Raw genomic sequence first — 15,622 nt, forward strand, 5'->3', positions numbered from 1 at the left:
GTCCAGGTAAGTGGGTACTCTGAATGACTGGATTTCTATCTGGGGGTGGAGTGCAGAGGGTCCTGCTGCACCACAGTCTCAGGAGATCAGGATGGGGCACCCAGCACAGATAGATGCAACTAGTCCCAGGTTGCCAAGCTGATCGTGATTGCAAGTCTCATCACCCAGGAGAAGCTGGACTGTGGTAGCTCTGCTCCTGCCCCCGGCCTGTGATGAGGGAGAATACAATTCCAGCACCTACTAATTAAGCACTTTCCACATTTCTGGCTGTAGAGGCACATATCCTGCTCCACAGAAAGCAAAGCAGTACTCTAATTTCTGGTCTGAGACTAACGTGCCTGTGCAGACACGTTGCTGGGTCACCAAAGAATGGCTGAGTTTGTGTGCACCCAGATTAAAAATGGCCTCCTGCTCTCAGTGCTGAGTCTAAGAAAGTACCTGTAGCTTTTCCCAGTGTCTTTCCCTCACAGTGTCTCTATGCCTCTTTCCAAGTTAGCTCCAGGGCTTGGGGGAAACAAAGTGTGCTCCTTCAGCCTGGGTTGCTCAGATCCCTAGTGGAAAGGTAAATCACAGAGGGAGCCTTTCTGACTCTCCTGTGTACTGGAGTTTCACTCACTTTTAACACCCAGATGCCATCATGGAGGCTGTTAGCCTGCATTCTCTTCCCTGGGAATTGGAATGTCCTTCACATTCTGGTGGATTCTCATATTCCTTCTTGAATTAACGCTCAGAGAGTTGATCTTTATGCACTATCTTGCTTTTTCCAAGTGGCCAAGGCATGCTAAGAGCCTCTCATCTGCCATCTTGAAGAAAAAGCAACAACTTTATTTGGTTTTAAACATTCGGATTTAGTCAAGGCCAACAAGCCAGAGATAGTCTTAAAGGGACCAACTTCATTCACACATCGAGGCACGTCTACTATCTGTAAAACTAAACTCATCTTCCCTCCATTTAACCTCTTTTCTTTTTACATCTCTGTTGCAGTTATGAAAGTTTGGAACAGTTAAATCACATCTGAATCCTCCACCTTCTCATTCAAGTTCCTACATTAATATAGAGAGAATAGTCAGTCCCTGTAAGTACTAGTCAGTCACCAAATCTTAACACTTATTTTGTAATATGTCTCTAATCTCTTTCGTATTCATTGATCTTAATTAGATCAGGACCTTGTTACAATAAGCCTGAACAATAGTAATAAGAAAATCAGTTTCTAAGTGCCTGGAGAGCCAGCTGGGTATGGAGCAGAGAGGGCCCCACTCCACCACAATAGCCAGACAATTCCTGTAGCCAAATAATTCTGTGTTGCATGCTCAGACTTTGTAAGCAAAGAATTTAGTCAGTAACTTCCCTACTCTGGTTTTATATATATATAACCAGAGACCGAGAAATGAAGTTAATAGTCTTGAGCCTGAAATTCAAAATCCTTCTTAATTGCACCTCAGTCATTTCTACCTTTCTCTGAACCATCTTCACATTTCTGAATTCTCCCTATGCTATAGACAGATACATCTATGCTTCCTAAATCTTGTGTTATTTTCTCACTGTTGACACATTCTATTCTACTTTCTTAAATTTTATCCTCACCTTTTTTTTCCATATACAAATGCATTCTTTAAAATTCATTTCAAATCTCTCCTGATCCATTAACCTTTTTCTTAATGCTTGCAGACCATGCAAATTGGTCTTAGTCAAAATATTGAAGATATCTGTCATCCATGGTGTTCATTTGGCACGTACTTCCTTGTGTCATCTCCGCTGATACACTATGTAACTATTATTTTATGTTGTATTGTAAAAATTGTTGTATACATTTATATTCTATTTTTTTTTTCAATTTAGGATTATCCTTCATATATTTTATTTGGCCTACAAGATTTTACACTTTTTGTGAGGGTTGTTTCTTAAATATCTCTGTACCACAATAGCACATAGATATTCCAGTATCTTGAATTAATTGGTTCATAAGTCACTTATTTGCCGTCTTATAAATCTGTTCAAAATTCACTATGGGCAGTAAACTCTAAGTCAAGATCTTAAACTTGTATTCAAGATTTCCACTGGACATACACAGATGAAAGAATCAAAATGGTAACTTATTTCAATTTAATCTCATAAAATTGAAAAATTCCCAGAGTAGTAATTTCTCAAAATCAAGATTAAAATTTTTGATAAAGAGTTCTTCACCAGAATGACCTAAAAAGAAATAAGTATGAACCCCAATAGATATATGTATACATTTCCTCATCTCTTTCCACCACTTTCCACATTGAGTGTTAGAAACACTTTCAGAGATAATGTTTATAGATTCTCACTGTACAAGTCTTTAATTCTGGAACTAAAAAGTACGCATCCAATTGACAGGAGCCAAGATGGCTGAATAGAAACAGCCATCTTGGAATTTACAGCTCCCAGCAAGACCAACATGGAAGGTGGGTGATTTCTGCATTTCCAACTGAGGTACCCAGTTCATCTCATCGTGACTGACTAGGCAGTGGGTGTGACCCACGGACAGTGAGCAGAAGCAGGGTGGAGTGTTGCTTCACCTGGGAACTGCAGTGGGTGAGGTGACCTCCCTCCCCATGCCAAAGGAAGTGGTGAGGGAATGTGCTACCCAGCGGGGGTACTACACTTTTCCTACGGATTTTTGCAATCCACAGATGAGGAGATTCCCCCGTGAGCCTACACCACCAGGGCCCTGGGTCTCAAGCACAAAACTGGGTGACTGTTTGGGCAGGCACTGGGCTGCAGGAGTTTTTACATACTCCACCAGCACCTGGAACTCCAGTGAGACAGGAGAACCATCCACTCACATGGAAAGGGGGCTGAAGCCAGGGAGCCAGCAGTCTTGCTTGGCAGGTCCCACTTCCACGGTGCCCAGCAAGCTGAGAACCACTGGCCTGAAATTCCCACTGCCAGCACAACAGTCTGGAGTTGCCCTGGGATGACTGAGTTCCCAGGAGGCAGGGGCAGGGGGAGGGGATAGCGGGGAGGGATGACTGCCATTTCTGTGGCTTTAGTAGGCTGTTTTCCCCTAACAGTGCTAAGGAGATGAGGACAGTTGGACTGGGTGGAATTCCCCACAGTGCAGCAAAGCAGCTGTGGCCAGACTGCTTCTTTAGATCCCTCCTCACTGGGCATGGACAGGGCCTCTCTGCAGGAGGTCCAGCACCAGTCAGGGGCTTACAGACAGAACTATCATTTCCCTGGGAAAGAGCACCTTGGGGAAGGGGTGGCTGTGGTCTCAGGTTCAGTGGACTTAATATTTCCTTCCTGGCAGCTCTGAAGAGATCAGCTGATCCTGACAAGGGGGATTCCCCCAACATAATGCACCAGCTCCACTAAGGGACAGATGACCCCCTCAAGTGGTTCCTTGACCCCCATGCCTCCTGACTGGGTGAGACCTCCCAACTAGGGTTGCCAGACACCTCATACAGGAGAGTTCTCGGTGGCATCAGGTCAGTGCCCCTCTGGGACAAAGCTTCCAGAGGAAAGAGCAGGAAGCAATCTTTGCTATTCTGCATCCTCCACTGGTGCTACCCAGGCAAACAGAGTCTGGAGTGGACACCTAGCAAACTGCAGCAGACCTGCATAAGAGGGGCCTGACTATTAGATGAAAAACAACAAACAAAAAGCAAAAACAACAACATCAACAAAAAAGACCCCACAAAATCCCCACCAAAGGTTATCAGCCTCAAAGATCAATGGTAGATAAATCCATGAAGATGAAGAAAAGCCAATGCAAAAACACTGAAAATTCTCAAAGCTGGAATGCCTATTCTCCTCCAAATAATCACAACACTTCTGCAGCAAGGGCACAGAATGGGGCCGAAGCTGAGATGGATGAACTAACAGAAGTAGGCTTCACAAGGTGGGTAATAATGAATTTCGCTGAGCTAAAGGATTATGTTCTAACACAATGCAAAGAAGCTAAGAACCATGATAAAAGATTACAGGAGCTGTTAACTCGAATAACCAGTTTAGAGAGGAATATAAATGACCTGATGGAGCTGAAAAACACAGCACGGGAACTTCATGATGCAAACGTAAGTATCAATAGCTGAATCGATCAAGCAGAAGAGAGAATATCAGAGCTTGAAGACTATCTTGCAGAAATAAGGCAGACAAACAAGATTAGATAAAAAAGAATGAAATAAAACAAACAAAACCTCTGAGAACTATGGGATTATGTAAAGAGACCAAATCTATGACTGATTAGAGTACCCGAAAGAGATGGGGAGAATGGAACCAAGTTGGAAAACATACTTCAGGACACCATCCAGGAGAACTTCCCCAATCTAGCAAGACAGGCCAATTTTCAAATTCAGGAAATCCAGAGAACTCCAGCAAGATATTCTGAGAAGATTTATCCCCAAGACACATAATCATCAGATTCTCCAAGGTCAAAATCAAGGAAAAAATGTTAAGGGCAGCCAGAGAGAAAGGCAAGGTCGTCTACAAAGGGCAACCCATCAGACTAACCGCGTACCTCTCCATGGAAACCCTAAAAGCCAGAAGAGATTGGGGGCCAACATTCAACATTCTGAAAGAGAAGAAATTCCAACCCAGAATTTCATATCAGGCCAAACTAAGCTTCATAAGTGAAGGAGAAATAAAATCTTTTTTAGACAAGCAACTGCTGAGGAATTTTGTGAACAGCAGGTCTGCCTTGCAAGAGCTTCTGAAGGAAACACTAAACATAGATAGGAAAAACCATTATCATCCACTACGAAAACACACTGAAGTACACAGACCAACAACTCTATGAAGCAACTATATTAACAAGTTTGCAAAATTAACCAGCCAGCGCCATGATGACAGGATCAAATTCACACATAACAATATTAACCTTAAATATAAATAGCCTAAACGCCCCAATTAAAAAACACAGAATGGCAAGCTGGATACAAAGATGGAACCCATCAGTGTGCTGTATTCAAGAAACACATCTCACATGCAAAGATGCACATAGACTTGAAACAAAGGGAAGGAGGAAAATTTACCAAGCAAATTTGAAAGCAGAAAAATGCAGAGGTTGCAATTGTAGTTTCTGAAAAAATAGACTTTAAATCAACAAAGGTCAAAACAGACAAAGAAGGGCATTACATAATGTTAAAGGGTTCAATTCAACAAGAAGAGCTGACTATCCTAAATATATGTGTACCCAATACAGGAGCACTGAGATTCATAAAACAAGTTCTTAGAGACCTACAAAGAGACTTAGACCTCCACACAATAATAGAGGGAGACTTTAATAACTCACTGTCAGTATTAGACAGATCATTGAGACAGAAAATTAACAAAGATATCCAGGACTTGAACTCAGCTCTAGACCAAGTGGACCTGACAGATATCTACAGAACTCGCCAGACAAAACAGAATATAAATTTTTCTCAGGGTCACATGGCACTTACTCTAAAATTGATCACATAATTGGAACTAAAACACTCCTCAGCAAATGCAAAATAACTGAAATCATAACAAACACTCTCTCAGACCACAGTACAATCAAATTAGAACTCAAGATTAAAAAGCCCACTCAAAACCACACAACTACATGGAAACTGAACAACCTGCTCCTGAATGACTCCGGAGTAAATAATGAAATTAAGACAGATATCAAGAAGTTCTTTGAAACAAATGAGAACAAAGCAACAATGTATCAGAATCTCTGGGATACAGCTAAAGCAGTGTTAAGTGGCAAATTTATAGCACTAAATGCCCACATCAAAGAAAGATCTCAAATCAACACCCTAACATCACAACTAAATGAACTAGAGAACAAAGAGCAAACAAACTCCAGAGCTAGCAGAAGACTAGACATCACCAAGCTCAGAGCAGAACTGAAAGAGATAAACACATAAACATCACTTCAAAAACATGAACGAATCCAGGAGCTATTTTTTTAAAAGAATCAATAAAATAGGCTGCTAGTGAGACTAATTTTTAAAAAAGAGAAGATTCAAATAAACAATCAGAAACGATAAGGGGGATACCACCACTGACCCCACAGAAATACAAACAACCATCAGAGAATACTATAAACACCTCTATGCAAATAAACTGGAAAATCTACAAGAAATGGATACATTCCTGGACACATACACCCTCCCAGGTCGGGGGGTGAACCAGGAAGAATTTGAATCCCTAAATAGACCAATAACAAGTTCTGAAATTGAGGCAGTAATAAATGGCCTACCAACTAAAAAAAGGCCCAGATCCAGATGGATTTATAGCTGAATTCTACCAGAGGTAAAAAGAGGAGCTGGTACCATATCTTCTGAAACTATTCCAAACAATTGAAAAGGAGGGACTCCTCCCTAACTCATTTTATGAGGCCAGCATCATCCTGATACCAGAGATACAACAGAGATACAACAACAAAAACAACAACAACAACAACAAAAACTTCAGGCCAATAGCCCTAATGAACATCTATGCAAAAATCTCAATAAAATACTGTCAAACCAAATATAGCAGCACATCAAAAAGCTTACCCACCATGATCAAGTCACCTTCATCCCCAGGATGCAAGGTCAACATATGCAAATCAATAAACGTAATTTATCACATAAACAGAACTAAACACAAAAACCACATGATTATCTCAATAGATGCAGAAAAGGCCTTTGATAAAATTCAACATCCCTTCATGTAAAGAACTCAATAAATTAGGTATTGAAGGAACATACCTCAAAATAATAAGAGCCATTTATCACAAACCCACAGTCAATATCATACTAAATGGGCAAAAACAGGAAGCATTCCCCTTGAAAATAGGTATAAGACAAGGATGCCCTCACTCACCACTCTTATTCAACATAGTGTTGGAAGTTCTGGCCAGGGCAATCACGTAAGGGAAAAAATAAAGGGTATTCAAATAGGAAGAGAGGAATTCAAATTGTCTTTGTTTGAGGATGACATGATCCTTTATCTAGAAAACCCCATCGACTCAGCCCAAAAGCTTCCTAAGCTGATAAGCAACTTTAGCAAAGTCTCAGGATACAAAATCAATGTGCAGAAATCATAAGCATTCCTATATGCCAACAACAGACAAGCAGAGAGCCAAATCACAAATGAACTCCCATTTACAATTGCCACAAAATACCTGGGAAAACAACTAACAAGGGAAGTGAAGGGCCTCTTCAAGGAGTACTACAAACCACTGCTCAAGGATATCAGAGAGGATACAAGCAGATGGAAAAATGTATCATGCTCATGGATAGGAAGAATCAATATCTTGAAAATGACCATAGTTCCCAAAGCAATTTATAGATTCAATACTATTTCCATTAAACTACCATTGACATTCATCACAGAATTAGAAAAAACTATTTTAAAATTCATACAGAACCAAAAAAAAGCTCACATAGCCAAGACAATCCTAAGCAAAAAATAAAACAAACCTGGAAGTATCATGCTACCTGATTTCAAACTATACTATAAGGCTACAGTAACAAAAACAGCATGGTACTGGTACAAAAACAGGCACATAGACCAATAGAAGTGAATAAAGAACTCAGAAAGAAAACCGCACATCTACAACCATCTGATCTTCGACAAACTCGACAAAAAGAAGCAATGGGGAAACGATTACCTATTTAATAAATGATGCTGGGAGAACTGGCTAGCCATATGCAGAAAACTGAGACTGGATCCCTTCTTTACACCTTATACAAAAATTAATTCAAGATTAATTAAAGACTTAAATGTAAAACCCAAAACTATAAAAACTCTAGAAGAAAATCTAGGCAATACTATTCAGGACATAGGCATGGAGAAAGACTTTATGATGAAATTGCCAAAAGCATTTGAAACAAAAGCCAAAATTTACAAATGAGATCTAATTAAACTACAGAGCTTCTGCATAGCAAAAGAAAGTATCATCAGAGTGAACAGGCAACCTACAGAATGGGAGAAAATTTTTGCAATGTATCCATCTGACAAAGGTCTAATATCCAAAATCTACAAAGAACTTAAGCAAATTTACAAGAAATAAACAAACAACCCCATTAAAAAAATGGGAAAAGGATATGAACAGACACTTCTCAAGAAAAAGGCATACATGTGGCCAACAAATATATGAAAAAAAGCTCAACATCACTGATCATTAGAGAAATGCAAATCAAAACTACAATGAGATACCATCTCACGCCAGTCAGAATGGCAATTATTAAAAAGTCAAGAAACAACAGATGCTAGTGACGTTGCAGAGAAATAATTCTTTTACACTGTTGGTAGGAGCATAAATTAGTTCAACCACTGTGGAAGACAGTGTGGCAATTCCTCAAAGATTTAGAACCAGAAATACCATTTGACCCAGCAACTGCATTACTGGATATACATCCTAAGGAGCATAAATCATTCTATTATAAAGATACATGCATGTGTTATGTTCAGTGCAGCACTATTCACAATAGCAAAGACATGGAATCAACCCAAATGCCCATCAATGATAGACTAGATAAAGAAAATGTGGTACATATACACCACGGAATTTTTTTTTTTTTTTTTTGAGACGGAGTCTCGCTCTGTCGCCCAGGCTGGAGTGCAGTGGCGGGATCTCGGCTCACTGCAAGCTCCGCCTCCCGGGTTCACGCCATTCTCCTGCCTCAGCCTCCCAAGTAGCTGGGACTACAGGCGCCCGCCACTACGCCCGGCTAATTTTTTGTATTTTTAGTAGAGATGGGGTTTCACCGTTTTAGCCGGGATGGTCTCGATCTCCTGACCTCGTGATCCGCCCGCCTCGGCCTCCCAAAGTTACACCACAGAATATTATACAGCCATAAAAAGGAACGAGATCATGTCCTTTGCAGGGACATGGATGAAACTGGAAGCCATTATCCTCAGCAAACTAACGCAGGAACAGAAAACCAAACACTGCATGTTCTCACTTATAAGTGGGAGCTGAACAATGAGAGCACGTGGACATAGGGAGGGGAAGAGCACTTACTGGGGCCTGTAGGGGGAGGGCAGGTTAGGGGAAAGCCTTAGGGAAAAGAGCTAATGCATGTTGGGCTTAATACTTAGGTGATGGATTGATAAGTGCAGCAAACCACCATGGCATGTGTTTACCTATGTAAAAAACCAGCACATCCTGCACATGTACCCTGGAACTTAAAATAAAATAAAATAAAATAATTATTTAAAAAATGAAAAATACACCCCCAAAAACATTTGTCTTCTTTCTTTTTCTTCTAAGAAACATGTCCTCAATGAACTGGAAATGTTCTATCTAGAACAGGCCAGTCACAGCTTGGGTGATTAAGAATTTATTTCAAAATTCATACATTTCTGAAATTACATAACAATTCATAAACCCAGATTATACATTAACAATATACTATTGATACAATATACTACATTATATCTTTACTATTATATATATTTACTATGTTAACAATTAACGATATGTAGGATTTATTTCAAAATAGAAATAGTATTGACATTATAGACTAATGAGATAATATAAATATAGTTTATATAGTTTACTATATGATTTACATTCAGTCCTCACCTTCAGTATTTGTCATTTTACTTTCATGAAAACCTTCACTGTTCTCCTTAGAGGCTCCATATAGAACCAAACTTTGAGACATGGCATTGCCTTTTAAAAAGAAAAAATACATATTTTAGTGAGTAGTTAATATTATAGAAAATTTTAAAATAAGCACCACCATGTAAAAAACTACGTTAGAGAAGTGCTCTCCTTAAAAGAAAAACAACTATGATACAAATATTAATCAAAATCCACAGTAGAGTATCTTCAGATATTTTCTCTATGCTCTTCAATTGGTTTGACTCTTTCATAAGAAGGTATTCAAAATAGCATGAGGCTGTTTAAAACAAACAGATAAGTTATTATGTGTTGATATAGGATGTATCCAGGACACACTGTGAAAATTAGCAAGGCAGAGATTTGTGTGTAAGCTTTGTCATCATTTTTTAAAAAATGATATGCATGTGTATGTGTATATATATATATACTATTTTATACATATATATACTATTATATATCTTAATTATGTTAACTATTGATATGTAGGATTTATTTCTAATTATAAATCCTATATAAGTTATGTATGATTTATAATTATAAATAAATAAGATATGTAGGATTTGTAATTGCTAGATTAAGAAACTGTCATTTTTAGAAAGAGAAAATGTAGAGAGAGAGGGGAAACGTTTTATTTTACAGTCTCTGAGGAAGTGTTTCAAAATTCTAAAACATAAAAATATATTATCATTTATTTGACATTTTCTTATAAAGCTAAATATATGTACACTTAATGCAGCAACTCCAGTCCTAAGCTTTTAACAAACAGAAATCAAAGTATAGGTCCACAAAAATATTATCCCAGACCATTCATATAACTTTATTCATAACAGTGAAAACTGGAAACAACCTAAATGTCCATCAGCAGAAAAATAGATTTAAATAAATACTCTGTAGTTATGCAATAATATAATGTGGACCAGTGAAACGAATGAGCTGCAAATACATGGAGTAGCATTGCTGAATCTCAAAAACATATTGAGCAAACAAAGTCAGATAAAACATACTCGATGCATTTAATTTCATTTTTACAAGGTCCAAGAAAAAGACAAAACTAAGCTATGGTGATAAAAATCAAAATAACAGTTGCCTATAGTAGGTGAGGAACTTTCAGGGGTGATGGAAATTTTTTTCTAGCTTGAATGTCATGATAGTTACATTTATGTACACACTTATCAAAATGTATTAAATTATAAATTTAAGATGGCACTTTCTTCCATGTATGCTATAAAATAAAAAAATTGTTTTACTCTAAAACCACTAAAATATTTTTATATATTATAAATACATACACACATACATACATAAATATAAGGTTAAAATGCTTGCAGATTAACTTATGTTAATATATACTAACAGTTAAAGATAGAATATTTATATGTTAAACCTCACTAAAGCATAAAATAAGGCAAAAGTAAGTTTATAGCAAAAATATTCAATAATAGGAAATTGTTCAAAAAATATAAAAATGATAAAAGATAGTGCTAATCAAATAGCTATTATAATATATAAATGACTAAATTTACCCAAAAAGAACCAAATATAAAATAATACAGAAAAAAATTATAAATAAAATGTATACAATTATTTTCTGAAAAAGAAAACTTGATGTGACTAAATATGAACAAATCTAGACCTTAAGCTCAACAACACCGAGAGTTATTACTTTACAATTGAAGTTACAGATAATAATAAAAAATCTATATGCGTGCAATAAAACAGCATATTGTATTAGAAAAAAATCTTATTTTTTAACATAAAGAGAAATTTAGAGAAAAAATATAGGGGAAAATCTAAGTCACCGTCATTCATCTGTGGCATATGAAGTTCAGAATAACAAAATGACATACAGGATGTGATGAGTACAATAAGGTAATATTGATATACATATTATGAATTGCAAAAAGATACAGATTACATCATTTTAAAGGTAGCAAAAGTAGGTATGTTAGACAACAATTCAAAAAAGTTTAATAAGTAGAAACTAGCTGCACTATATAACTAATCTACTGTACAGTTAGAAATTTGTCACATAAAGTTAATTCAAAGGTATTTGGAAATTTAATGTATATTTCCAAATAACAAATGTGTCAAGGAAGGATTCCATGTCATAAAAAATATGTATGAAAAAGGAAACACTTTGTAAACAAATGTTAATGTATTCAAAACAGAAATACATTCAGAACTTAAATGTTTAATTGTAAATAAATACCATTTAAAATACTGGTAAAAGTGAAATATATATATATGTACTAGGACATTAAAGGGAAACATAGGAAACAAATAATTCTTTTTTTTTTTTCTGAGGTGGAGTCTTACTCTGTCACCAGGCTGGAGTGCAATGGCGTGATCTCGGTTCACTGCAACCTCTGCCTCCTGGGTTCAAGCGATTCTCCTGCCTCAGCCTCCCAAGTAGCTGGGACTACAGGAGTGCGCCACCATGCCTGGCTAATTTTTTATATTTTTAGTAGAGATGGGGTTTTGTCATGTTGGCAAGGCTGGTCTCGAACTCCTGACCTCAGGTGATCCGCCCGCCTTGGCCTCCCAAAGTGCTGGCATTGCAGGCATAAGCCACCATGCCTGGCCAGAAATAAATAATTCTAAAACTGCAAAAAAAATCTTCCTTATATATCAGCCACCCCAACCCATAGGGGCTTGTTTATAATAGAGCACTAGAGGCAAATGTCCTATTTTCCAAGCTGCTGAGCTTCTGGCATTGTAACCACAACTTCAGTCCCGGTCCCTAATCACTTCCTTCAAACTCTGTGATGACGAGATGAGGTTTTCCCATAATTAAGACCTCAGTATTATCTTTGAACTTTAGTTTTACTCTAATCTTCAAACGGATGTTCCCACAACTTGACTGAGTCTCAATGACTCCAATCCCTACATTCAGTACCCCAACCAGTGATTTGGGGGGTTTGCAATGTAGCAGTTTTGTGGTATGTCCAGAGTATTAAAAGAATAAAGTTTCTACAATCAAATTCTTGTGTAAGTCAGATACTGACACGAAAGAATCAAAATTGTAATAGAATCAAATTCTTGTGTAAGTCAGATACTGACACGAAATAATCAGAATTGTATAAACCTAATGCATTATTATTTAAAAAGAAGAATTAAAAATATAAAATTGGAAAGCCGGGCATGGTGGCACGCACCTGTAGTCCCAGTTACTCCAGAGACTGAGGCAGAATGATCACTTAAGCCCAGGAGTTCAAAGCTGCAGTGAGCCATGACTCCAACCTGGGCAACAAAGTAAAACCCTCTCTCTAAAAAATAAAATAAATAAAACTGCAAATATTAAGTGCAAATAAAACAAAAATCAACAAAATTTCATACACTATAGAACTGTGTTAAAATTAATTTGAAAGTTTAAAAGAAAATTAATGCATCAGTCACTTGAATGCCATTCTTGCCCCCATGGTAATCCAGTGGAAAGCATCATGGTCTTCCCGTGAATAATTTCTCAAAATCAATAAGGAGTACAGAGTGAAAGCAATCAAACACAAAAGAAAAGTAGACACCACAACTCCAAGACTGGTTGTCAGTAGGCAACCAATGTTACAATTTTCTTGTGTGTACTTCCAGATCCTTTATACCTATGAGAATATTTCATATGTATGCCTTATTTTATGCTTTAGTGAGCTTTAACATATATTCTATCTGTAACTGTTAGTATATATTAATGTAAGTCATTCTGCAAGCATTTAAACCTTATATTTATGTGTGTATGGTGTATTTATAATACATAAAAATGTTTTAATGGTTTTAGAGTAAAACAATTTTTTTATTTTATAGCATACATGGAAGAAAATGCCACCTTAAATTTATAATTTAATGCATTTTGATAAGTGTGTACATAAATGTAATTACCATGACATTCAAGCTAGAAAAAATTTTCATCACCCCTGAAAGTTTCTCATCTACTATAGGCAACTGTTATTTTGATTTTTATCACCATAGCTTAGTTTTGTCTTTTTCTTGGACCTTGCAATAATGAAATTAAATGCATCGAGTATGTTTTATCTGACTTTGTTTGCTCAATATATTTTTGAGATTCACCAATGCTACTCCATGTATTTGCAGCTCATTCTTTTTCACTGGTCCACATTATATTATTGCATAACTACAGAGTATTTATTTAAATCTATTTTTCTGCTGATGGACATTTAGGTTGTTTCCAGTTTTCACTGTTATGAATAAAGTTATATGAATGGTCTGGGATAATAGTTTTGTGGACCTATGCTTTCATTTCTGTTTGTTAAATGAGTGTGTATATAAGTGTGTTCAAGTGTGCATATATATAAAATATATGTAAAGAGACACGTATACATACATTTCTTTCATTCTCAGGACAGAGAGATTCCTTACCAACTTTAAACCATACTTCAAATTCAACTTTATATTTCAAGTTGTTAGAAAATTTTTTTTCACACACTAAGATCAGTCACATCAGGATTCATCTTAAAATTCAAGGTTGGTATGTGGAATAGTTTAATTGGTAGATTTTTATTTCTTAGAAGTTTATAAAATAATGGTAAATTATACAACTAGAATTATATTACATTACATAAAACATCAGTGTCATGGTATCTTGCAGTATAAATTTACCATAATTTATTGAACCAATGAGGATGAAAAAAATCTCAAAGTGAGAATGACTAATATTTATTGAACATATACATGACAGTTGACTTCAACATATTTATTATACTATGATACTTAATCTTTACAATAACACATATTAATTTTCATTTTACACATGAGTAAAATGTGGCCCAGAAAGGCAGTGAACCAAGCCAGGTTCACAAAGTTAGCAAGTGATAGAACTAAGATTTAAACTTTGTGTCTAGTTCCAGTCTTTCAACTACACTAGCACTCTTTAAATCCTGTTTACAATATATAATTCCAAGAGATTCTTGTAAGTATGGAAAGCTGCAGTTCTACACTCAAATAACATATTACTTAAGAAGGTTTTTTCATTGCAAGACTTATTAGAGCTTTCAAAGTGTTAATGCTCATCAAAAAAACTTCAAGGAAAATATAAATTATACAAAATTTCTCAGTTTTATTTTACCTCAGAATTATATTTTCCTTAAGCATATCTTGGAATATATATTAAATAGTACACTGTTTGAATAATATGTCCTAAAGCACATTATCTCCCAAATTTGAGAAGAAATATAATTCAGAAGAGGATTAAACTTGTTAAATTATATAAGCCAGAAAAATTCCTCTTATTATAAATGTATAATTCAATACAAAATAATAGTGTATATAATTCATATTTCTTGGAATGGCAGGCTAGGTTTATCAGATCTACTTTTCCACTGAAAATAACTTTAAAAGCCTGTATATGTATGTGTATATATATATATATATATATATATATATATATATATATATATATGTATACATATATGAACAAGATAGTTACAAACTACTAGGACAAAATCTAAAGGAGAGCAGAAACTATACTTCTAAGTGGAGCACAGGGTGCAAAATGACATTTGACACAAAAGTCATTGACAATTCCTAGAAAATTTGGGCTGGGTTTGATGACTTGTAAGTTTTAGAAAATAAAAAGACAACCTAGTCTCACGTTCCATAGACAAAATTTAAGTGATTCGTGAAATCGGATGGGGAAAAATTACTCTATTTTTAAAATATTTCTGTACTTCTTATAATACATTTAAAAATATAATTTTCATGCCAGAGAGTATAAGCTTCAACAAGCTTCAAAGGGCCTATAGCACAAAAAATTAGAATGCCTTAACTCCCAACTAAATTGTAAAACTCGTTTTAAATTTGGATAACAATTGGCTATAGCCTCGGAGCAAAGGTTAACCAGAAATAACCACCCCAATGACCTCTACCAGAGCTCAAGACACTGTAGAGACATTTTCTCTGAGTATACACTAAATATACAAAAATAAAAACAAAAGCAGAAAACCTCACCCCTGTGACATTAAAACTTTGGCTATTCATCACTTAAATTTGCAGATTAGGTTTTCATCATTGGACACTCTACCGAAGCCTCTATGCTTGAATTTGTTTTAAGTTTGTGCC

The 15,622-nt window shown here is 36.1% G+C and overlaps 1 protein-coding gene across 8 annotated transcripts in view; it reads right to left on the reverse strand.

The window, feature by feature from the left end:
- CCDC178 (coiled-coil domain containing 178) overlaps nt 1-15,622 on the reverse strand; it is a 503,635-nt gene that overhangs the window by 442,620 nt on the left and 45,393 nt on the right. For all 8 annotated transcript variants that reach the window (NM_001371120.1, NM_198995.3, XM_011525951.2 and 5 more), the window contains exon 5: nt 9,515-9,604. In NM_001371120.1, the coding sequence (NP_001358049.1) occupies nt 9,515-9,604 (90 nt within the window). The remainder of the gene's footprint in view (nt 1-9,514; nt 9,605-15,622) is intronic.

This window comes from Homo sapiens, chromosome 18 (genome assembly GCF_000001405.40).
Source record: "Homo sapiens chromosome 18, GRCh38.p14 Primary Assembly".
Classification (NCBI taxonomy): Eukaryota; Metazoa; Chordata; class Mammalia; order Primates; family Hominidae; genus Homo; species Homo sapiens.